The 24405-nt window shown below is 47.7% G+C and overlaps 2 protein-coding genes across 5 annotated transcripts, besides 1 other annotated feature; one reads left to right on the top strand and one right to left on the bottom strand.

The window, feature by feature from the left end:
- Nucleotides 2–9207, top strand: ILF2 (interleukin enhancer binding factor 2). Of its 2 annotated transcripts, none has more exons than NM_004515.4 (14): nucleotides 2–77; nucleotides 765–824; nucleotides 1117–1159; nucleotides 2438–2542; nucleotides 2918–2995; nucleotides 3338–3440; nucleotides 5267–5332; nucleotides 5659–5775; nucleotides 6521–6599; nucleotides 6865–6952; nucleotides 7719–7780; nucleotides 7862–7976; nucleotides 8200–8290; nucleotides 8439–9207. In NM_004515.4, the coding sequence occupies exons 1-14, from the start codon at nucleotides 73–75 to the stop codon at nucleotides 8597–8599; spliced, it is 1173 nt and encodes a 390-aa protein (NP_004506.2). In that variant the 5' UTR covers nucleotides 2–72; the 3' UTR covers nucleotides 8600–9207. The 2 variants fall into 2 exon arrangements, with proteins under 2 accessions (NP_004506.2, NP_001254738.1); NM_001267809.2 differs by having other exon boundaries at nucleotides 2419–2542.
- On the bottom strand, nucleotides 9143–12341 carry SNAPIN (SNAP associated protein). 3 transcript variants are annotated; one of them, NM_012437.6, is made up of 4 exons: nucleotides 12109–12292; nucleotides 11811–11857; nucleotides 11429–11547; nucleotides 9143–9795 (listed from the first exon to the last, which is right to left on the bottom strand). In NM_012437.6, exons 1-4 carry the CDS (start codon nucleotides 12249–12251, stop codon nucleotides 9694–9696), a joined length of 411 nt encoding a protein of 136 aa, NP_036569.1. In that variant the 5' UTR covers nucleotides 12252–12292; the 3' UTR covers nucleotides 9143–9693. The 3 variants fall into 3 exon arrangements, 1 of the variants encoding a protein (NP_036569.1); NR_052019.1 differs by lacking the exon at nucleotides 11811–11857 and having other exon boundaries at nucleotides 12109–12341; NR_052020.1 differs by lacking the exon at nucleotides 11811–11857 and having other exon boundaries at nucleotides 12123–12341.
- Nucleotides 12447–12526: an enhancer, noted in NCBI's record as "active region_1751". NCBI's record gives its function as "activates an Ori minimal core promoter by ATAC-STARR-seq in GM12878 lymphoblastoid cells {active_cell/tissue: GM12878}" and the evidence as "EXISTENCE:reporter gene assay evidence [ECO:0000049][PMID:35858748]".

Genomic DNA, 24405 nt, shown 5'->3' with positions numbered 1-24405 from the left:
CCTCTTCAGTTGTCTGCTACTCAGAGGAAGGGGCGGTTGGTGCGGCCTCCATTGTTCGTGTTTTAAGGCGCCATGAGGTAAGTGGGTCGAAGCGGTCGAAAGGTTTCAGGTATTCGACGGAAAACTTTGTGAACGTGGGCCGAAAGAAGTCGGAGTATCAGAAAGGGCCATGTATCCGGGGGCTGGCCAAAAACCTGAGAACTCCTGGTCTAGGATAGTGGGAGAGATGGAGGCCGGTAGAGGCGGGGAAACTTGGGCCCGGGATGGGGTTCGGGCCCAGGAGTGGGGAGGGGGGTTCGACACCTTTGTCTCTGAAGGGTTGCGATGAGGGGGTGTCCTCAAGCCCCTGGAGGAGCTCCCCACCTTTCCCCCGCCCCCGTCATCCGGGCTGAGAATGCTGGAGCGAGCCGCATTCATCCTCAGTGCGAAGGCCTTGACATTAGGACACGCCCGATAAATGTGTACCTTAGTGAAGAAATGAGCAATCTTTAGCCTCCGAAGTATTAGGATTCGTGTGGCCCAGGATTATGGGTTATTAAGTGTAGGGCTCACTGAGCCCCATCATTACTTGATGGGGGTTGGATTAACTTAGAGGAGGTTATGGGGGTGTAACTGGGCACCATTTGGAATGGGGACAAGTGTAAGTGTGAGTGGGGTCTCTTGCCTACCGTTGGGAGGTTCCGAGGGATGAAAGTAGCCAACCTAAGATGATATGGCCGGTGGGTATTCCTTCAATGAGGTCAAAATAAAATCTGCATTTCTAGGGGTGACAGAGGCCGTGGTCGTGGTGGGCGCTTTGGTTCCAGAGGAGGCCCAGGAGGAGGGTGAGTACCAGCTTTTAGCATCTCTGCACTTGGTTGTTAGTTTCTGCTTGTCATCTAAATAGGAGTTTTAGAGTAGACTAATGTCACTTGGTTTTGCGAGAGCCAACTGTGGTCTTTTCCTGCACTCCTGTTAAATGAATTTGGCCCCACTATGCTAAGAATGATTCTTTCCCTCCCCGGAGACTTTGTCACTCATTCTGAGGACTGACATGTTTTCAAAATTGTTGGCGTGTTATTTACATCTCGCTTGATTCCTACCTAGGGAATAATTTGGCTGTTTTTCATGTTTTAGGTTCAGGCCCTTTGTACCACATATCCCATTTGACTTCTATTTGGTGAGTACCTTGGGTTAATGATACACATTTTCTGGTCACTGTTGAAATGGAGCCCAGTATCTCCCAGTTAATGAAGTTAGATGGTGGTTGAAGAGGGCAGACACAGTGCCTCACGCCTGTAATCTCAGCACTTTGGGAGGCCGAGGCAGATGGATTACCTGAAGGTCAGGAGTTTGAGACTAGCCTGGCCAATATGGTGAAACCCCGTCTCTACTAAAAATAAAAAAGTTGGCTGGGCATGTGTCTAATCCCAGCTACTTGGGAGGCTGAAGCAGGAGAATTGCTTGAACCCGGGACGCGGAGGTTGCAGTGAACCAAGATGGCACCACTACAAAAAAAAAAAGATGGTTGAAATAGGGAGGGAAAGTGATTTGTGAAAAGATTTGGGGTTTTGAGTCAACTGTGTGTTGCTTTACATACAGAAACAGTGTAAGCATGGTGGGGAGAATAATTCCTTGGCTACTGTTGGCATTAAACATGATTATAATCTTTGTTCTGAACAAGTAATTGTATTTATGGTATATCTGTTACTATAAAGATAGTGATAGCTTAAATTATGGCTATTCCAGCTTTTATCCTTGTTTGAACTTTTTATTTTTTTTGAGACAGTCTCACTCTGTCACCCAGGCTGGAGTGCAGTGGTGCAATCTTGGCTCACTGCACTGAACCTGGGAGGCAGAGGAATCAGGACCTCTGCCTCCAGGGTTCAAACGATTCTCCTGCCTCAGCCTCCTGAGTAGTTGGGATTACAGGCACCTGCCACCATGCCCAGCTAATTTTTGTATGTCTGTTTAGTAGAGACGGGGTTTCACCATGTTGCCCAGGCTGATCTTGAACTCCTGACCTCAAGTGATCTGCCCACCTCAGCCTCCCACGGTGCTGGGATTACAGGTGTGCGTGACCCACTGTGCCTGGCCTTTGAATAAATTTTTTTTTTTGAGGCAGGGTCTCACTCTGTTGCCCAGGCTGGAGTTGCAATGGCGCGATCTTGGCTCACTGCAACCTCGCTTCCTGTGTTCAAGGGATTCTCTCACCTCAGCCTCCCAAGTAGCTGGGATTACAGGTGTGAGCCACCACGCCCAGCTATCACCTCAGCCTCCCAAGTAGCTGGGATTACAGGTGTGAGCCACCACGCCCAGCTAATTGAACAAATTAAGCAGTAAAAACAAGTGTAGAATTTTCTGTTTTTAACCTTTTTCTGTCGTAGTAATAGAAAAAACAATCTCTCCTGTATATTATCTTCGGCAAATAGAATGTAGTTGTTTACTTCTGGTTTAGTGTGAAATGGCCTTTCCCCGGGTCAAGCCAGCACCTGATGAAACTTCCTTCAGTGAGGCCTTGCTGAAGAGGAATCAGGACCTGGCTCCCAATTCTGCTGAACAGGTATGTTCTTTTGGCTGTCTTCCAGAAATGTCTCTAAAGCAGTTAAAAGTATTGGTAAAGAGTAACTGTTGGTAAGGTTAAGAATGGTGTTAACAGAGCCTGAAATCCACAAAGGGTTTAATTGTTCTCCTTATTTCTCATTGTGGGTGGAGATAGCCAGGTGGATATATAAACAAATTACATATGCATTCTTATTTTTACTGGGGACAAAGAGTTGTTCTCTTCCCATATATTCAAGGCCAGAATGAAGTGTTTTTAAAGCCCTATGTCAGTATTGAGTCAGCTTGTATGGAAGGGATTAGGAGAAAATATTCAAATTCTGAGAAATTGCTTATAATTTTTCATTTTCAAGTATTGTTTCATACTGTTTTTCAGGCATCTATCCTTTCTCTGGTGACAAAAATAAACAATGTGATTGATAATCTGATTGTGGCTCCAGGGACATTTGAAGTGGTGAGTTTTTGATGATTTAGTTTTAGGAAAGGGCAGCTTTGGTAGTGTGGAAATTGCCTTGGCTCTTGACTTTTAATTTTCAGTTGTCTATTATCCAAAGCCAAGCCTAAAATGAGAAAGTACAGTGGAATTTCTTTGTAGTACTGATCTTGGGGACAAGACTTGTATCATTGTTATGCTAGCTGTGATGTATCAGGCTTTCATGTGGTGGTTTTGGGGGTGATTTCACCTCTGCTACTTCTTAATTTGGGTAACAGGTAGCTGTGTTGTAACAGTTCTGGGAGGACCTAGGCACCTTTTTTTCTTCTAAATTGTTTTTCCCCGAAATCCTTTTTCCAACAGCAAATTGAAGAAGTTCGACAGGTGGGATCCTATAAAAAGGGGACAATGACTACAGGACACAATGTGGCTGACCTGGTGGTGATACTCAAGATTCTGCCAACGTGTGAGTGTGCCTGTTTCTGGTCATGGGAACAGAACATAGCACTTGGATTAGGGGTTTAGGTATCTTTTTTTGTTTTGAGACAAATTCTCCCTCCGTTGGCCAGGCTGGAGTGCAGTGGTACCATTGTAGCTCACTGCAGCCTTGACCTCCACTACAGCAAGTGATCTTCCCGCCTTAGCCTCCCGAGTAGCTGGGACTACAGATGTGTGCTACCACACCCAGCTAATTTTTGTATTTTTTGTAGATACAGGGTTTCACCGTGTTGCTCGGGCTGGTCTCAAACTCCTGAGCTCAAGCAATCTGCCCACCTCAGCCTCCCAAAGTGCTGGGATTACAGGCGTGAGCCACTGTGCCCAGCCCTTACGGATCTTGAAAGCTCAAATTTCTTGTGAGAAAGGATGTTTGTAAGACAAATGTTTCTAGTTTTTGTTTTTGAGACGGATCTCACTCTGTTGCCCTGGCTGGAGTGTAATGGCGTGATCTCGGTTCACTGCAACCTCCACCTCCTGGGTTCTAGCTGTTTTCCTGCCTTGGCCTCCCAAGTAGCTGGGATTACAGGCAAGTGCCACCATGCCAGGCTAATTTTTCTATTTTTAGTAGAGACGGGGTTTCACCATGTTAGCTAGTCTGGTCTCAAACTCCTGACCTCAGGTGATCCGCCCGCCTTGGCCTCCCAAAGTGTTGGGATTACAGGCGTGAGCCACTGCACCCTGCCTGACAAATGTTTTTTAATGAGTGATAAGGGACAAACGCTGGAGTGTGTGTGTCTGAAAGAATGTATAGCAGGTTACTGTACGGCCATGTTTCTCAACTGGAGGTAATTTTGCCACCCAGGGGATATCTGGCAGTATCTGGCGGTACTTTTGATTGTTAAAACAAGGGGGTGCTACTGGCATCAAAAAAGGGTAGAAGCCAGGTGTGGTGGCTGTATTCCCAGCACTTTGGGAGGCTGAGGCAAGAGGATCACTTGACCCCAGGAGTTTGACCAGCCTGTATAACATAGAGAGATCCTGTACCTACAAAAAGAAAAAAATTAGCTGGGCATGGTGGTGCATGCTTTGGTCCCAGCTACTCAGAAGCCTGAGGTGGGGCCGGGTGCAGTGGCTCACGCCTGTAATCCCAACACTTAGGGAGGCCAAGGCCTGGAGTTCAAGACCAGCCTGGCCAACGTGGCAAAACCCAGTCTCTACCAAAAATATAAAAATTAGCCAGGCGTGGTGGTGGGCGTCTGTAATCCCCACTACTTGGGAGGCTGAGGCAGGAGAGTTGCTTGAACCTGGGAGGCAGAGGTTGGAGTTAGCAGAGATCGTGCCAGTGCACTTCAGCTTGGGTGACAGAGTGAGGCCCTGTCTCAAAAATAAGAAAAAAAGAAAAAAAAAGCAGCAGCCTGAGGTGAGAGGATTGCTTGAGCCCGGGAGGCTGAGGCTGCAGTGAGCTGTGATTGTGCCACTGCACTGCAGCCTGGGTGACAAGAGTGAGACCCTTTCTCAAAAAAAGAAAAAGGATAGAGGCCGTGGATGCTGTTAAACATCCTACATCCCCATCACCCCAAAGATTTGTCTAGCCCAAAATGTTATTAACTGCCACTGACCTGAAAAACCCTGCTGTAGAAAGAGGATATGAGTACAGGAGGGGTCCTGTTCCCTGAGTCTTCCAATTTTTCTGCCCAGGCCTTGGCTTTCTCTTATAAAAGTATATATTCTATTACTTACCCTTGCTTCAGCCTTGGATATGGGACAGAAATGAGAGTGCAAAGTAGCTTAGAGATACATAGAAAGTCTAGGCAAATAAATTATTATAACATTATGTCATTTTCTGTCAATTAGTGGAAGCTGTTGCTGCCCTGGGGAACAAAGTCGTGGAAAGCCTAAGAGCACAGGATCCTTCTGAAGGTTTGCATTTGTTGCTGATTCTGTATTTAGTAGCCATAGGAACCAGGTCTTGTAATTGTAAGTACACTTTCAACAAAATCAGATCAGACCAGATGGAAGAGTAAATGCAGAGTTTTATGTTGTGGGAGTTTTTGGCAGGGGCTTCAGGTGTTCAAGGTGTTCAAGGGAGATCTGTTTGATCTCCCTTCTAAAGCTCTGTATTCTAAATTCTCATTCTGGACTTTGTGCTGTTTTAAAAAATCCACCTGTTCCCCCCCACCCTGGATTTAACTTTGATCATCTAATGGAAATGTGAGTTATAGTTTTTGTTTATTCTGTTTTTTCAGTTTTAACCATGCTGACCAACGAAACTGGCTTTGAAATCAGTTCTTCTGATGCTACAGTGAAGATTCTCATTACAACAGTGCCACCCAATCTTCGAAAACTGGATCCAGAACTCCATTGTTAGTTCTTTTTTTTCCATTGCTGGAAAATTTAGGGGATATTCAAAACATGGTATTGTTGCTGTTTAGTTTACTTAGCTTGTTGCTATTCCACATGCAGCTTCCTGGGAATTGAAGAACTTAGGTTTATTCTGAACTTTGCTCTCTCCCTCTGTAATTTGGAAATAGTTTATCAGCTTGCTAGTGGAATTTTCAGATGGGGTGACCAAGAAAGCATTTGGAGGACTTAAAAAGGACTGAGAAAATATTTATGGAGGGGGATAGGCTTTTGAAGAAAACAGATCTTGCATGTTTCTAGTGATTTTTAGACAAGTGATTTGCTGATATGAGAAACACAGGGTGGCTTAAAGAATTGCAGAGTTGGTCGGGTGCGGTGGCTCACGCCTGTAATCCCAGCACTTTGGGAGGCTGAGGCAGGCAGATCACCTGAGGTCAGGAGTTGGAGACCATCCTGGCCAACATGATGAAACCCCGTCTCTACTAAAATAAAAAATTAGTGGGGCATGATGGCGGTTACCTGTAATCCCAGCTACTCAGGAGGCTGAGGCAGGAGAATTGCTCGAACCCGGGAGGCGGAGGTTGCAGTGAGCTGAGATCACGCCACTGTACGCAATCCAGCCTGGACAACAGAGCGAGACTCCGTCTATCCTGCCCTCCTTCCAAGTTTTTAAGACTGTAGCAGTGGTAATGAGTAGCTTGTTTAATGAAAATGTTTCATCCTGGCATATCATGCTTGTCTTTTTAGTGGATATCAAAGTATTGCAGAGTGCCTTAGCAGCCATCCGACATGCCCGCTGGTTCGAGGAAAATGCTTCTCAGTCCACGTGAGTCCCTCTCTAACCATTTGGATTAAGATAAACTTTTTAACTGCAGTGAATAGCAGGATACCCCCATACTTCCTCTGACAGAACTATTTTGCCTGTGACCTCGTGTCTGGATTTTTATTTTTACCTTAAGGAAGCAAATTAAGATTTAGAGAAAGCAGAGAATGTATAGTTCTGGAAATAGCATAGTCAGCTTCAATTCTACCTTAGGCATGGAAATACATGATCGTATTGATTTTAATGTTTGGGTCACTATTACTTTCAGAGTTAAAGTTCTCATCAGACTACTGAAGGACTTGAGGATTCGTTTTCCTGGCTTTGAGCCCCTCACACCCTGGATCCTTGACCTACTAGTAAGTAAAGATGGGCAATTGGAGTTCCTCATCATCCTTATTTACTAGTAGTAGTAGTAGTAGTAGTAGTAGTAGTAGTAGTAGTAACTCTGAAATTCACCAGAGTCTGAAATTTGGTGAAGCTTAAAAGAAATTTTATTGGTAGACAAGTAATCCAATAAAAATTCAACATTTACATGACTCAGAGACATTTGTTTAAAAAAAAAGAAAAAATTCAAAGTTTTTTTTTTTTTTTGTATATTCAATGAAATGAGTAGTTACTGAGTTATAGTGTCCCGTTTTCTTCTCATGACTGCTACCATTTAATCATGGTAGTAGAGAGAAATGAGTGAGCAGCCATTTCAGAATTGCTTCTGAACATGAAAATTTTGGCTAGACTTAGACCTTAATGACCAGTTTTCCTCGTGATCATTTAAGGTTTTAGTTTGATGCCTGTAATCCCAGCACTTTGGGAGGCTGAGGCCAGAGGATCACTTGAAGCCAGGAGTTTGAGACCAGCCTGGGCAAAATAGCGAGACTCTGTCTCTACAAGAGAAAAAAAAAAAAATTAGCCAGTTGTAGTGGCTTGAACTTATAGTCCTAGCTTCTCAGGAGGCTGAGTCAGGAGGGTTGCTTGAGCCCAGGAGTTCGCGGTTACAGTGAACTATGATTGCGCCACTGCACTCCAGCCTGGATGACAAAGTGAGGCCCTGTCTCTAAAAAATAAAGTTCTAGTTATCAGAAGTGCCATTTTGATGGCACACCTACTGGATTTATTATTTTTCAGGGCCATTATGCTGTGATGAACAACCCCACCAGACAGCCTTTGGCCCTAAACGTTGCATACAGGTACAGCATGCTTTGGGTTTAGGGTTGGTTGTAAACTATTTTGTGCATTCCTTTAATACCTCATACCTCCCTGTGTTCTAGGCGCTGCTTGCAGATTCTGGCTGCAGGACTGTTCCTGCCAGGTTCAGTGGGTATCACTGACCCCTGTGAGAGTGGCAACTTTAGAGTACACACAGTCATGACCCTAGAACAGCAGGTATTGGGACAGATATGAACTGAGTTGTTTTGCCCCACTCTTTTGAATACTGCTGCTCAGCAGGCAAAGCGGAATATGGTCTTTACGGGTCAGGAATTTGGGGATTCTGAAAGACTTTGGTCCTGAGATTTAAAAAGCTGTCTTAATCTCTGTTTTCAGAAGGGTATTACTCAAATAAGGTCCTTTGATTTTCCTTGCTTACTCTCACTTTGCTTTCCTTCAGGACATGGTCTGCTATACAGCTCAGACTCTCGTCCGAATCCTCTCACATGGTGGCTTTAGGAAGATCCTTGGCCAGGAGGGTGATGCCAGCTGTGAGTGACCACTGTGGGTCAGGGGTTTTGTATTGTAATCTGGTACAGAGAAGCTGTACACTACTTAAATGTCTTTAATATTTCCACAGTGTAAGTAATGACTTTTATGCTGGGCTACTCGTCTAAATCACCTTTTTCTCTTTCCTAGATCTTGCTTCTGAAATATCTACCTGGGATGGAGTGATAGTAACACCTTCAGAAAAGGCTTATGAGAAGCCACCAGAGAAGAAGGAAGGAGAGGAAGAAGAGGAGAATACAGAAGAACCACCTCAAGGAGAGGAAGAAGAAAGCATGGAAACTCAGGAGTGACATTCCCTTCACTCCTTTTCCTACCCAAGGGGGAAGACTGGAGCCTAAGCTGCCTGCTACTGGGCTTTACATGGTGACAGACATTTCCGTGGGATAGGGAAGATAGCAGGAAGAAAAGTAAACTCCATAGAAGTGTCATTCCACTGGGTTTTGATATTGGCTTAGCTGCCAGTCTCCCATTTGTGACCTATGCCATCCATCTATAATGGAGGATACCAACATTTCTTCCTAATATTCTATAATCTCCAACTCCTGAAAACCCCTCTCTCAACTAATACTTTGCTGTTGAAATGTTGTGAAATGTTAAGTGTCTGGAAATTTTTTTTTCTAAGAAAAACTATTAAAGTACTTCCTAGTAGGGCTCTTGGTCTTTCTGGTTGGTGTTTTTTGTTTGTTTGTTTTTTTGCATGTGGCAACCTTTTTTGCTTTTGGCTTTGTGTACTCTTTTGTTGAAAATGATAATTGAGTCATTTAATTATAAATACTCAGATCACAATTTGAAGCTGTCTTTGAATTAAAGGACAAACTCCTGGAACCTTTCCATATACCAGAGTAAACTAGAATATCATTTTAAGTATTTATTGAATAAAATGATTCTATCAACACTGCTACTGTATTCAAGCCAGTGCAATAAAAAAGTGGGTGGACAGAGGTCATTCACTTTGACTTTGCCTGCCCCCTCCAAATCCCCAGTGTAAACAGGAAAATGAGAAGTCACAGGTAGAGGACATGCTGTCCAGGCCCATGTAACCAGGCATGTAACATACAAAGGAAGCCCCTCTGGTTAACTAGTCCTGAAGAAGGTAAGCCTCACGTATGCAGCTTAAAAAAAAAAGTAGAGGCCTCAGCTCATTTGTGAAAGGAAGCAAGAGCCATAATTAATGTAAGTCCTTTGGGAACCTCATTCTGGCTGTGTGTAGGTTTCCTGGGGCCCCTACATAAATGGGTAAGACGAAGTGCTTCAAACAAACTGTACGGCTCCCTTTTTAATGTCTGAAGGTCTATGGGGACTGTCTCCTAGGATCTTTGCATGTCTGTTGAAACAAGGCAGCTGGGGAACAGTACTTGTGCTACTGAGTCCATAGGCTCATCTGTTATTTGCCTGGGGAGCCAGGGGGGTAAATTCCCGAATCCAGCATTGCTCTCCTGCGGGCTGTTTCCTTGGCAACACTGTGGTTTAGCCGTCTCAGTCGTTCCTACAAGACAAGGAAGGTTTGGAATCTTAACCACTGTGAAAGGCTTGAGAGTGTAAGTGAACTAGGTGCTGAAAAATACCGGGCGTGATCTACCTCAAAGTCAGTCTTCAAAAGTATATATAAGAATGTAGGCCGGGCATGGTGGCTCACACTTGTAATCCCAGCACTTTGGGAGGCTGAGGCGGGTGGATTACCTGAGGTCAGGAGTTCAAGACCAGCCTGACCAACATGGTAAAACCCGTCTCTACTAAAAAATACAAAAAAATTAGCTGGGCATGGTGGCGGGTGCTTGTAATCTGAGGCAGGAGAATCGCTTGAAACCGGGAGGTGGAGGTTGCAATGAAATGAGATCGTGCCACTGCACTCTAGCCTGGGTGACAGAGGGAGAACTCCATCTCAAAAAAAAAAAAAAATGTAGGCCAGGCATGGTGCTCATGCCTATCCCAGCACCATTTAGGAGGAAGTGGCAGGAAGATCACTTGAGCCCAGTTTGAGAACAGCCTGGGCACCATAGTGATAGCCTGTCTTTTTTTTTTTTTTTTTTTTTTCCCGAGACGGAGTTTCGCTCTTGTTGCCCAGGCTGAAGTGCAATGGTGCGATCTCAGCTCACCGCAACCTCCGTCCCCCGGGCTCAAGTGATTCTTCTGTCTCAGCCTCCCAAGTAGCTGGGATTACAGGCATGCGCTACCACGCCCAGCTAATTTTGTATTTTTAGTAGAGACGGGGTTTCTCTATGTTGGTCAGGCTGGTCTCCAACTCCCAACCTCAGGTGACCTGTCCACCTCGGCCTCCCAAACTGCTGGGATTACAGGCAAGAGCCACCGCGCCCAGCCGATCCTGTCTTTTTATTTAAAAAAAAAAAAAAAAAGGCCAGGCAGGCCGGGTGCAGTGGCTCACGCCTGTAATCCCAGCGTTTTGGGAGGCCCAGGCAGGTGGATCACTCGCATGCAGGAGTTTGGGACCAGCCTGGGTAACATGGTGAAACCCTGTCTCTAGAAAAAATACAAAAATTAGCTGGACATGGTGGTGCATGCCTGTAGTCCCAGCTACTTGGGAGGCTGAGGTGGATGGATCGCTTGAGCCTGGGAGGTAGAGGCTGCAGTGAGCCTTTATCATGCCACTGCACTCCATCCTGGGTGATAGACCTTGTATCATAAAAATAAATAGCCAGGTGTGGTGGTTCACTCCTGTAGTCTCAGCACTTCGGGTGGCCAAGGTGGGAAGCTCACTTGAGCCCAGGAGTTCCAGACCAGCCTGGGCAACATGGAGAAACCCTACTTCTACAAAAAAATACAAAAATTAGCTGGGCGTTGTGCACGCTTGTAGTCCTAGTTACTCGGGAGGCGGAGGCAGAATTGCTTGAGCCCAGGGGGCGGAGGTTGCAGCGAGCTGAGATTGAGCCACCGCACTCCAGCCTGGGTGACAGAGGGAGACTGTCACACACACACACACAAGAATGTAAATGGCAGCAACTGAATAGTGAGAATGAGACGAATTTTCCTAGGTATTTTTCAAGTACTGGGAGAAGTGAATTTCCCTTTCCCCAAAGAATTTTAAAATTACAGTGGCTTTCACTGTGTTGAGGACTTACAAAAAAGGGCAAAGAATCACTGTTGGTAAGATATTCTTTTACCTGAGCATTCTGTAGAATGTTGTTAACCAAGACAACGCGTCGCCGGGCATTAAGTAGCTTCTTAACATAGGGGTCAAGATCCAGGGCCACCTTCTGATCCTCATTTATGCGGCACAGTTCTGGGGATGGAAGTAAGGTGCAGCTAAGATCTAACGGCTTATCTCTTGTTCTGAGGGAAAGCAGGCTGGTAATGGGATGGAAAACACTTGCACCCAAACGGGCCACAGCCATTAGAGATTTAAGACATCCCTGAAAGGAGGAGTCCTTTGGCAGCCCTGATGCCCTGGAAGCAAGTGACAGAAACTCAGCCCAGGGGTTGGCAAAAACCTAAGGTCCTGAAAGTGGGCTGAAGAATTCCGGGTACACAGGGATGCTCACTCACCTGTGGCTAGGTTGTCAATTTGTTCCCGGAGCTCTACCTGGCTCTCTCTGCAAAGAGGTACAAGGCCTACAAGGTCAGGCAGTTACCGGAGCTCAGGAAACGAACTCCCCTACGTATTTACCAAGTACTGAGAGAAGCCGGCCTCCGCTGAACCCTCCACCTGCGGCCTTCCCGCCTGTCCTCCCCGCCTCGAATCAGTTTCCTAAATTTATGCCCACTCCCAGCCAGAACACTTTCTTGGCCCCGCCCCTACAAAGCCAGAGAGACAGGCCCCGCCCCCAACTTCCCTCCCGGGCACCTGACGGCGTGTACGTGAGAGTCGAGCTGCTGCACAGCGGGTCGCAGGAACTCCAGCAGCCCTTCGGCGAAAAGGTCGCGGCCTGTGGGCCCCGCCACCGGGGTCCCTGCCCCCGATACAGCGGCGGAACCAGCCCCCGCCATCACGAATTGTCCTGAAGCCCGAAACCTGCCGCGAGGGCCGCCGGGAACCGGAGCCGCGCCGCACTGCCCCGCCCCGTGAGGGGGCGCCCGGGAAATGCTGTCTCCACCAAGACACCGGGGTTTCTGGGAAATGGAGTCTAGCGCGAACCGGGCGGGGAGGAGGGCCAGGCCGTAGGAGTAGAGGCCTTGTGGCTGGTCTTGAAAATCTCCAAAGTTCAGGTTGTAGAAAGGAACCAGTTTTTGGAGTGGATACTTTTCGTTTTCTTTAAAGGTGAAAATAAACGCGAATACCTGCAGTTGTCCATAGCCTTCCCATGTTAACTTTATGAGATAGCCGGGCATGGTGGCGGGCACCCAGCTACTTGGGAGACTGAGGCAGGAGAACCGCTTGAACCCGGGAGGCGGAGATTGCAGTGAGCCGAGATCGCGCCACTGCACTCCAGTCTGGGCAACAGAGAGACTCCGCCTCAAAAAAAAAAAAAAAAAAAAAAAAAGCAACCCAAACCAAACAAAAACAAACCAAAAACAAAAACACTTTATGAGAAAGCCACATTATATTCATAGTATCGTTTTCTATTTCTAAAGAGTTTATTGTGGTTGGTTGTTTTTAAGACAAGGTCTCTCTCTGTCGCCTAGGCTGGAGTGCAGTGCCACCGTCTTGGCTCACTGTAGCCTTCACCTCCTGGGGTCAAGAGGTCCTCCTGCTTCAGTCTCCCAAGTAGCAGGGACCACAGGTGTTAGCCACCATGCCTGACTAATTTTTCATTTTCTGTAGAGAAGAGGTCTCACTATGTTTGTTGCCCAGACTGGTCTCGAACTCCTGGGCTCAGGTGATCCTCCCAACTCAGCCTCCTAAAGTGCTGGGATTACAGACGTGAGCCACCACGCCTGGTCTATTTCTAAAGAGTATATTTTTAATGGCATTAAATATGTAAAAAACTGCATGTATCCGAATTTCATTCCTTTTTAAGGCTGAATAATATAAACATGCAGGCAGGGCATGGTGGCTCACTCCTGTAATCCCAGCACTTTGGGAGGCTGAGGCGGGAGGATCACCTGAGCCCAGGAGTTCGAGATCAGTCTGGGCAACAAACCTAGTGAGACTCTGTCTCTACAGGAAATAAAAAATTAGCCAGGCGGCCAGGCGCAGTGGCTCACGCCTGTAATCCCAGCACTTTGGGAGGCCGAGGCGGGTGGATCACGAGGTCAGGACATCGAGACCACGGTGAAACCCCATCTCTACTAAAAATACAAACAATTAGCCGGGCGCAGTGGCGGACTCCTGTAGTCCCAGCTACTCGGGAGGCTGAGGCAGGAGAATGGCGTGAACCCGGGAGGCAGAGCTTGCAGTGAGCCCTGATCGCGCCACTGCACTCCAGCCTGGGCGACAGAGCGAGACTCCATCTCAAAAAAAAAAAAAAAAAAAAAAATTAGCCAGGCATGGTGGCTCACAGCTGTGGTCCCCGCTACTTGGGAGGCTGAAGTAGGAGGACCTTGAGCCTAGGAAGTTGAGGCTACAGTGAGCCAAGATCGTGGCACTGCATGCACTTCAGCCTGGGTGACAGGGTGAGACCCTGTCTCAAAAAATAAAAATTAAAAAAAATTTTTTTTTGAGACCGAGTCTTGCTCTGTCACCCAGGCTGGAGTGCAGTGGTGCAATCTCGCTCACTGCAAGCTCCGCCTCCCGGGTTCATGCCATTCTCCTGCTTCAGCCTCCCGAGTAGCTGGGACTACAGGCGCCCACCACCACGCCCGGCTAATTTTTTGTATTTTTAGTAGAGATGGGGTTTCACCACGTTAGCCGGGATGGTCTCGATCTCCTGACCTCGTGATCCACCCGCCTCGGCCTTCCAAAGTGCTAGGATTACAGGCATGAGCCACCGCGCCCGGCCATAAAAATAAATTTTAAAGTTTCCTTAGTTCACTTATTTTTCCTTTCATTTTTAGAGACAAGGTCTCACTCTGTTGCTGAGGCTGGAGTGCAGTGATGTTATCATAGCTCACTGTAACCTCAAACTTCTGGGCTCGAGCCATCCTCCTGCCTCAGCCTCCTAAGTAACTGGGACTACAGTCACCTGCCCCCATGCCTGGCTAATTTTTTAAATTTTTTTGGTACAGGCAGGGTCTCCCTATGTTGCCCAGGCTGTTCTCGAACTCCTGGCCTCAAGACACCCTTCCATGGTTTTCTTTTTCCCTGAGAATTATGAAGACAATGATTCCTTCCTTAGTTTAGTTCGGTTTGGTTTTTCATGGCTTTCCAGATAATTTACATCTGTCTCCTAGGCTCTAATGTGTTCCCGTGGCTCCCAATTCCCTAGGCCATGGGGAAGGATGTATGAGCAGAAATGCTCCTGGAGGACAGGCAAAGGCATCCATAGTGATAAATGGGCACCAGAACGTTCAGCTTTGAGCTTCATCTTCAGTAATAAAGGAAGATAAGGCATTTGAATCACTGTGAGATTTGGTGGTCAGCAGCTCTAAACCTAAGACCCCAACTGTGATAACTTTTTTTTTATTATTATTTTTTGTAGAGACGAGGCCTCCCTATGTTGCCCAGGCTGGTCTTGAACTCCTGCATCAAGCAGTCCTCCCACCTCGGCCTCCCAAAGTGCTGGGATTACAGGCGTGAGCCACCAAGCCCAGCCCCAACTGTGATAACTTTTAAAACCTTATACACTTACACTGGGTGGGGTGGCTCATGCCTGTAATCCCACCACTTTGGGAGGCTGAGGCGGGAGGATTGCTTGAAGCCAGGAGTTCAAGACCGGCCTGTGCAACATAGGGAGACTCCCATCTCTACAAAAAAATTAATAAAAAAAATAACTGGGCATGGTGGCACACACCTGTAGTTCCTGCTACTCGAGAGGCTGAGGTGGGAGGATCACTTGAGCCTGGGAGGTAGAGGTTGCAGTGAGCTGTGATCATGCCACTGCACTCCAGCCTGGGTGAAAGAGCAAGACTCTGTCTCACACACACACACACCAAAAACCACCTTATACACTTTTTGTCGTTGATTACGTTTGTATCCCTGTATCTTCCTCTCTGGTGATTAGAGGTAAAGCTCTTGCGAGAGGCTAGGAGCTTATTTTGGGAGTAAGTGGCAAGGCAACTGCAACCTGCTTCACAGTCAGGCCTTGGGAAAAGGAAGCCCAGGGGAGAAAGTAGTGACAGTGTTGAAGAGGAATGGAAAAGTGTTGAAATCTCTGAGGCTTGTACTGCAAAGAGAGAACAGGTGTTGACCTGGGCTGGGAGAGGGCCTTGGAGGTTGATGGCCCACTGTTTGCACAAGAAGCCCTTGTGTGTTAGGCCACTGTCCTTTCAGGTGCCTCTTCAATTCTTTAGATTAAATACTCCCTATTGCCGGATTTAGCAAACAGAATAAACAAAACACTTGGGACACCAGGTAAATTTGAATTTCAGATAAACAACAGTTTTTTTTTTTTTTTTTTTTTGAGATAGAGTCTTGCTTTGTTGCCTGGGCTGAAGTGCAGGGGTATGATCTCAGCTCACTGCAACCTCCACCTCCGGGTTCAAGCAATTCTCCAGCCTCAACTTCCCGAGTAGTTGGGATTACATGCGCCCGCCCCCATGCCTGGCTCTTTTTTTTTTTTTTTTAGATGGAGTTTCACTCTTGTTTCCCAGGCTGGAGTGCAGTCGCGCGATCTCGGCTCACTGCAACCTCTGCCTCCCGAGTTCAAGCAATTCTCCTGCCTCAGCCTCCTGAGTAGCTGGGCTTACAGGTGCCTGCCACCACGCCTGGCTAATTTTTGTATTTTTAGTAGAGACGGAGTTTTACCATGTTGGCCAGGCTGGTCTCAAACTCCTGACCTCAGGTGATCCACCCGCCTTGGCCTCCCAAAGTGATGGGATTACAGGCGTATGCCACCGTGCCCAGCAACAACAAATAATTTTTTAGTATGGTTATCTAGTAATCTGACTTCAAAGGCTGGTTCTCTGAGGAAAAGCATGTGTTTTGTTTTTATGCTTTCCTTTTTCTTGAACTTTATTTCTCATGGGGTCTATTGCAAAGGCCTCCTGACTGATCTTGCCTGTAGTCTCTATATTCCAGGTCAGTCTGCATTCTGAAATACCAGTCAGATTTCATAATACCCCTGCTTAGAGAAAAGTAGTGCTGAAAGGAATTTTAGACTCTGTCCTTTGTTCCTGGGACACTTGTGAGGAAAACTGGACAAGGGTCTTGAAGAATCCCTGAAATTTGATAAGAGGTTGAAGGCCAGTGCTAGTGTAATTTTTCATTCTCTAAACATTTATCACACTTTAGGCCCAAGGTATTCAGCACAAAAGCCCCTTCCTGCCTGCCTTCACCTGTATCGTATAGCTGTGGCCCTCCTCCAGGCCTTGGCTTTTCCAGAGAGACTGAAGATGCAGGTCCTAAGAATGCCCCTTCCCATCCAACTACTGCACATACAACCACCATGCTGTTTGTATGTCAGGGTCCAATGAAGAGAGACAAATGACACAATATCAACAGGGATAGTTTACTGTAAAGAGTTATCAACTCTATTTGGTGATGGGGGATTGGAGTAATGAGGAATTGGCTAATAAGCAGAGAGAACTCTAAAGCACATAGGAAGAGCAGATGTTAGGAGCGGCTGTTACTCCTAGAGTTAGAGCACACAGGGAAGAGCTCTAGCCACCAGGTCTGAGATCCAGACATTGTTGAAAAGGGCATGGCTTGGCCGGGTGCAGTGGCTCATGCTTGTAATCCCAGCACTTTGGGAGGCTGAGGCAGGTGGATCACTTGAGGTCAGGAGTTCGAGACCAGCCTGGCCAACATGGCAAAACCCTGTCTCTACTAAAAATACGGGTGTGGTGGCACATGCCTGTAATCCCAGCTACTCAGGAGGCTAAGGCAGGAGAATCGCTTGAACCCAGGAGGTGGAAGTTGCACTGAGCCAAGATGGCACCACTGCACTTCAGCCTGAGTGACAGAGCGAGACTCTGCTTCACACACACACAAAAAGGCCGGGTGTGGTGGCTCATGCCTGTAATCCCAGCACTTTAGGAGGCTAAAGTGGGTGTATCACTTGAGGTGAGGAGTTCGAGACCAGCCTGGCCAACTTGGTGAAACCCTGTCTCTACTAAAAATACAAAAATTAGCCAAGTGTGGTGGTGAGCACCTGTAAGCCCAGCTACTTGGGAGGCTGAGGCAGGAGAATCTCTTGAACCTGGGAGGTGGAGGTTGCAGTGAGCCGAGATCAAGCCATGGCACTCCAGTCTAGGTAACAGAGTGAGACCCCATCTCAAAAAAAAGAAAAAAAGAAAAGGGCATGGCTGTGGCTCACTGAATGACTCAGAAGTTGCTCTGATGGCATGTTGGTGGAATGTGCCAGAAATCTGCCTTCCAGAACTTACCTCTAGAATTCTACACTCTAGAGTGCCTGGGAAAGCTGTGTATGGGAGGTGGCTCACAGGAGGCATTCCCTTATGAAACAGCCTGAAGCTGCTGCCCACTGGGTACTACTGGCTGCCATGCACTGCCGGAGATGAGTCCTGAAGTCATGTTCCGGGACCCACCAGAACAAGGAAGTAATGGTTCCTCCTGAAATGTTCCTCCAGTGTCCTCTATTGACAAACATTGTGCCAGCTGTCAAAGGAAAAATATTTAAAGGATTCAGAATCATTTTCACAGAGCTGGCAAAAAAGATTAATTTAGAGCTACAAGGTTCTTCCTGGTTGTGCAACAGCTGGAAAATTCACTTGTCTGCTCTACAGGAAGCTCTAGATCTAAAGTACGATTTTATTCACTTGGGCACAAGTCACAGGGAAATGGTGTTCCCACCTCCAAGGCCTGATCACCACCCAGAAGGCTTCTCTAATGAGTCTTGTTTTCCAACCTCCCCATTTCTGTTCCAAGTATTTGGTTTTCTTAGGAGGAATTGTATCATAAAGGAAAAGTATGAGCAATAAAAGGGCAGAGGGTACCTACCGAGATATGAGGAGAAAGGGAGGAGGAGAGGACAGGGAGGGGCAGATTTAGTGAGACGTTGTGCAGGAAAATTCAGAGACCATGATCCTCCTGTATTCCAGCAGCCTCCTATGGTTCTCCACAAGCAAAGCCCACTTTCTGCAGACTGCCTCAGAGAGCCTGTTGGGTTTCTATCTTCCCCACAATTGTCCAGCATAGGGGATTTACAGCTATTTATATGGGACTTATATACATATATGTGTGTGTGTGTATATATATATATGTCTATGTATTATATATATAAAATTATATATATATAATTATGTATGTAAAAAATTATATATATATATAATTTTTTTTTGAGACAGAATTTCTCTCTGTTACCCAGGCTGGAGTGCAGCGTGTAGTTGCATGATCTCAGCTCACTGCAACCTCTTGCCTCCCAGGTTCAAGTGATTCTCCTGCCTCAGCCTCCCAGGTAGCTGGGACTGCAGGCGCACGCCACCACACCTGGCTAATTTTTGTATTTTTAGTAGAGATGGGGTTTCACCATGTTGGCTAGGCTGGTTTTGAACTCCTGACCTCAAGTGATCCATCTGCCTTGGCCTCCCAAAATGCTGGGATTATGGGCATGAGCCACCATGCCCAGCTGATAGTGGACTTATATTTTACAAGCATTTTTATGTCTAAACTCTCACCTGATGCTTACAGTTGAGCAGACTGATGCTTGGTGGGGCACCCTGACCTGCAGCCACACAGCCTGGTCAGCTAGGGCTGGGGACCCAGCTGAGCTTGGGTATGGTGTATAGCACCTGGGTTCAGCAGCTGTGGTGCCTGGTGCAGCTGCATCTCCATTCAGCAGGAGGTGTGGATGATGATCTGGTGCAGTTAATCTGGCTGCCAGCCATTACAAAACTTAGGCAGCAGATGCATAGGTATTTACTGCCTGGCATCCATCACGATGCCTGCAACCTCTGCAAGCCCTGGGTGGGCAGAGAAAATGGAGCTCAGGTTGAGTTTGATGTATTATACAGCTTTCCACCATCTCTCTAAACATCTCGCTTTCTACTGGTTAGTTTGTTTTGGGGTGTTTTTGTTTCTTTTTTTTTTTTTTTTTTTTTGAGACGGAGTCTTGCTCTGTCGCCCAGGCTGGAGTGCAGTGGTGCAATCTCAAATCACTGCAACCTCTGCCTCCCTGTTTCAAGAGATTCTCCTGCCTCAGCCTACTGAGTAGCTGGGATTACAGGCCCCCTGCCCCCATGCCCGGCTAATTTTTGTATTTTTAGTAGAGACAGGGTTTCACCATGTTGGCCACGCTGGTCTCAAACTCCTGGCCTCAAGTGATCCACCTGCCTCGGCCTCCCAAAGTGCTGGGATTACAAGAATGAGCCACCGCGCCCAGCTTGTTGTTGTTGTTGTTGTTGTTGTTTGAGACAGAGTCTCACTCTGTCACCCAGGTCGGACTGCAGTGGTGTGATCACAGCTCAATGTAGCCTTGTAGCCTTGACCTCTTGGGCTCCAGTGACCCTCCCACTTCAGCCTCTCAAGTAGCTGGGACTACAGGCACATGCCACCACACCCAGCTTCTATATATATCTATATATCTATCTATATATCTATATATCTATATCTATCTATATATCTATATATATATCTGTTTTGAGATGTAGTTTTGCCCTTGTTGCCCAGGCTGGAGTGCAATGGTGTGATCTCGGCTCACTGCAACCTCTGCCTCCTGGGTTCAAGCAATTCTCCTGCCTCAGCCTCCCGAGTAGCTGGGATTACAGGCCCCCTGCCCCCATGCCCCGCTAATTTTTGTATTTTTAGTAGAAACAGGGTTTCACCATGTTGGCCAGGCTGGTCTCGAATTCCTGGCCGCAAGTGATCCACTCGCCTTGGCCTCCCAAAATGCTGGAATTACAGGCGTGAGCCACCGCGCCTGGCCAAAATCTCTTTTTTTTGAGATGGAGTCTCGCTCTGTTGCCCTGCTGGAGTGCAGTGGTGCAATCTTCGCTCACTGCAACCTCCACCTCCCGGGTTCAAGCAGTTCTCCTGTTCCTCAGCCTCCCCAATAGCTGGGATTATAGGCGCCCTCCACTGCTCCCGGCTAATTTTTCTATTTTTTAAATAGAGATGAAGTTTCACCATGTTGACCAGGCTGGTCTTGAACTCCTGACTGCAGGTGATCCTCCTGCCTTGGCCTCCCAAAGTGCTGGGATTATAGGTGTGAGCCACAGCAACTGACCTTTTTTTTTTTTTTTGTATTTTTTATAGAGATGGGGTTTCACCATGTTGACCAGGTTGGTCTCAAACTCCTGGGCTCAAGTGATCCTCCCACCTTAGCCTCCCAAAGTGGTAGGATTACAGGTGTGAGCCACTGTGTCTGGCCACTACTGGTTAGTAATGGCTAGGAAATAACAACTCACTTTCTCCCTGTCTTCAACTCAAGAATCACACCTAGGTCAGACTTCCTACCTAGGCCACTTCCAGTCTGTCTCCCTGCTCCCTCCCATATCTCCACTAGGAAAAACTTCATAATACTCACGTCCTGTACCCCTCTAGTTTTATGGGCTGCATGGGATCGGGTGCCCCTATGTTCCCCCAATAATCTTAGTCTATTGACTTCCTCCCCACTCACCCATGGCAGGGCTAATGTCCCCCAAAGAGTCAGACCTAGGGATCTCACTCCCCATGGCCACTGCGCATGTGCTGGGGCCACCTGCTGCTGTGTCTGCCACAGGCTGACTGGCACAAACACACACTTGGCAGGAAGCTGGTGGTCAGGATACACTGCCAACCCAGCTGTGTCCACACTGCCAATCCTCATCCCTGCCAGAATCCTGGAGCAGCTTGTTTTCTTGGGGTGATGAGTTGGGTGCTTTTGGGATTTCAGTGCCTGCAAGCCTTTCTGTTCTAGACTTTAGGTCTCTTCTCATCTCCTGGAAGCACTGGCTCTTCCCTGCCTCTCAGACTCTTCTGACTCTGTTCTCCCCATGCTTAGGTTGAACTGCCTTCTCCTTGCTGGCTACCTCAAGGTGGGTTCTGGGGTAGGCCCAGGTGGAAGCTCTGCCGGAACATGCTATATTCTCTCAGGCAGCACACATAGTGCACTCTGCCTGGAGGGCACCTGCAACCTGCACCCTCTGTAGAGCCTGGGTGGGGCTTAGAAGAAGGCCTTTCTTGTGGGAGAGAGGGTTCACAGAATGGTGTCTGGTAATGCCTTTAACTGGGGAGGAAGACCTGAGAGTCAGACTTCTTTGGGCCTCTGTGAGCTCCAAAGGATAGGGATGAGGATATTCCTGGTACATCCTGCTTTCTGGGAGGCCAAACCTCTGTTTGGGGAGCCTTACGAAGCTTCAGTGGAGGAACTGGAGGGGCAGCAGTAGAGGTGGGAGCTGGGAGGGGTTAGGGCAGGTAGTCAGGTCTGTGGTTCAAGCTATCTTAACTGGTGCTTCTGGAGAGCTGCCATCTGCCCACATCCCCCATGGGTGAATTATCTGGCCAGGCCCCAGGACTCCTGCTTATCACAAAGGGGTCAGAGGCTGAGGGTGAGGTCCTGCCTTGGCAGTGCTGAGGAAAACATTAGGGGCCTTTCTTCTTTTATCTTTCCCGTCTACCTTTCCCCCACCTCCTTTCTCTTCTCTGTTGTCTGAACTGGCTTTCCTCTTGAAATTAAACTCCTGAGAGTATGTGCTTTGAATTAAAATCCAAAGGGGATGCTGGGTGCGGTGGCTCATGCCTGTAATCCCAGCACTTTGGGAGGCCGAGGCGAGCAGATCACCTGAGGTCAGGAGTTCGAGACGAGCCTGACCAACATGGAGAAACCCTATCACTACTAAAAATACAAAATTAGCCGGGCGTGGTGGTGCATGCCTGTAATCCCAGCTACTCGGGAGGCTGAGGCAGAAGAATCCCTTGAACCTGGGAGGTGGAGGTTGTGGTGAGCCCAGATCGTGCCATTGCACTCCAGCCTGGGGAATAAGAGTGAAACTCTGTTCCAAAAAAAAAAAAAAAATTCCAGAGGAAAGCTTTAGGACTTTCTGAAGGAACCCCTTCCCCCATCTCCTCATGGATGTGTTTAAATCTTCAGCTGATAATCACCTTACACTAAAGGGTAAGAAACAAAATCGCCAGGCGTGGTGGCTCACGCCTGTAATCCCGGCACTTTGGGAGGCCGAAGCAGATGGATCACGAGGTCAGGAGATCGATACCATCCTAGCCAACATGGTGAAACCTCGTCTCTACTAAAAATACAAAAATTAGCTGGGTGTGGTGGCGCATGCCTGTAATCCCAGCTACTCAGGAGGCTGAGGCAGAATTGCTTGAACCAGGGAGTTGGAGTTTTCAGTGAGCCAAGATTGCACCACTGCATTCCAGCCAGGCAACAGAGCGAGACTCCATCTCAAAAAACAAAACAAAACAAAAAAACAAACCAAGACTAAATGGAGCATTTAGTGAATCCTTTAAAGAGACCTCATGGGGATCTTAGCTGTCCCAGGCTGCCCACACAATGAGGCCTATGACTGGGGGCTGCTGCCACCATTAAGGGTCCCAGAGCTGTCCAGGGCCTGTCTCCACCTTCAAGAGTCATCCTGCCCTGCTTCACAATGCTCCCCTCTCCTTCCTTCCTTGCCCCTGGTACAGGTGGTCAGCCAGGGTCCCCAGCACGTCTGACTGGGTCACTAGCCAGGGTGTGACGCAGGTGGGAGAGCCCACCGAGGCATAAGTGGGAGCCTCTACCCTAACCCCTGCTGGGTCCATGGAGCTATCTATTCATAGCAGCAGGACCACCTTTTTTTTTTCGAGATGGAGTTTCACTCTTGTTGCCCAGGCTGGAGTGCAATGGCGCCATCTCGGCTCACTGCAACCTCCGCCTCCCGGGTTCAAGTGATTCTTCTGTCTCAGCCTCCCGAGTAGCTGGGATTACAGGCATGTGCCACCACGCCCAGCTTATTTCATATTTTTAGTAGATACGGGGTTTCTCCATGTTGGTCAGGCTGGTCTCAAACTCCCGACCTCAGGTGATCTACCCGCCTCGGCCTCCCAAAGTGCTGGGATTACAGGCGTAAGCCACTGTGCCCAGCCTCAGGTGTTCTTTTAGCACTGTACCTTTACACTTGGTTCCCTCTGCTTGGTGTATTTTCTCTACTTTCCCTTGTCTTAAAAGATCCAGCTCATCAACCTCTTCCCTATGCTCCTAATGTTACCCTTACAAAGGATGCCTTGTGTTGGTATGGCAAGCCCTCAGCACATGGCAGCTGAATGAAAGGCTGACCCAGAGGAGGTCAGGTTTACTCACCTTGTCCCACACGACCAGTGACTGAGGATGACAGGGACACAGGCCTCAGGAGACCCTGGGAACTGTAGTGAGCAGTAGGTGGGGCTGGAGGACCCTTGGCTGATAGGAGAGTTCCCTGTGCCCCACATAAGCGATTTGGGGATAAATTCTTTCAATGAAGTAGGAAGGACATGGAGGTAGAAGGAAGGAAGCCTAGGCTACGGCAGTCACCTCCTTTATAGAGAACTCTTAAGCATCAGTCTCCTCTGGGGTAGGAGGGAGCCTGGCATTTTGCACTTGTTTGGGTTGTTGGGGAGGTTGGCTGGGAGGGGAAGTCCTCATGCTTTAGCACTGGAAAAGGCAGAAGGAGCTGAACTGGGGATTCAGTTCTGCAGTCACCGTCCAACCTGTAGCCTTCTGCTAGACCCCCACTGCCCATCTCCCTTGGGACCTACAGACACCCCACATCACAGGATTCAAGTTTGGGTTGTCCTGACCAAAATTTCCTTCCCAGCCCCCAGTAAGTACAACCTCCTGGCAGTTTAGGGTGAAAGGCAGCCCAATGACAACTGGCTTGGCTGGGCGCTACTAGGTTCTTTTCTCTTCAGCTCTCAACATAGGGAAAAAGGGAAATATGTGCCAGGGCCCAAGGGCCCAGAATGTTGCCCAAGACAATCTTCCTTGAGTTTTTGTGGGCGTGGTGTTATTTCTGCAGAGCTCAGAGGAAGTCAAATTCTTCACTTTCTGCTCAAAGCCACAGGCTCTCCAGAATTTTAACACAAGTAAGAAGAAAGAAACTCTCAACCATACAAGGGGTATATCAAGACATCATTAAAGTGGCTGGGTGCAGTGGGTCACGCCTGTAATCCCTGCACTTTGGGAGGCTGAAAGTGGGTCACGCCTGTAATCCCTGCATTTTGGGAGGCTGAAGCGGGTGGATCACCAAG

Source organism: Homo sapiens, chromosome 1, assembly GCF_000001405.40.
Source record: "Homo sapiens chromosome 1, GRCh38.p14 Primary Assembly".
Taxonomy (NCBI): Eukaryota; Metazoa; Chordata; class Mammalia; order Primates; family Hominidae; genus Homo; species Homo sapiens.
This window is presented reverse-complemented; position numbering and strand designations above follow the sequence as displayed.

Bases quoted from the DNA above. Each gene is read 5' to 3' on its own strand.
- ILF2 (NM_004515.4), top strand. The intron at 5,333-5,658 runs GTTTGCATTTGT...CTGTTTTTTCAG, and splicing joins AGCACAGGATCCTTCTGAAG to TTTTAACCATGCTGACCAAC. The intron at 8,291-8,438 runs GTGAGTGACCAC...TCTCTTTCCTAG, and splicing joins CCAGGAGGGTGATGCCAGCT to ATCTTGCTTCTGAAATATCT.
- SNAPIN (NM_012437.6), bottom strand. From the start codon at position 12,251: ATGGCGGGGGCTGGTTCCGCCGCTGTATCGGGGGCAGGGACCCCGGTG. The intron at 11,858-12,108 runs GTGCCCGGGAGG...ACCTCTTTGCAG, and splicing joins TCTCACGTACACGCCGTCAG to AGAGAGCCAGGTAGAGCTCC. The intron at 9,796-11,428 runs GTAAAAGAATAT...CTTGTCTTGTAG, and splicing joins ACATTCTACAGAATGCTCAG to GAACGACTGAGACGGCTAAA.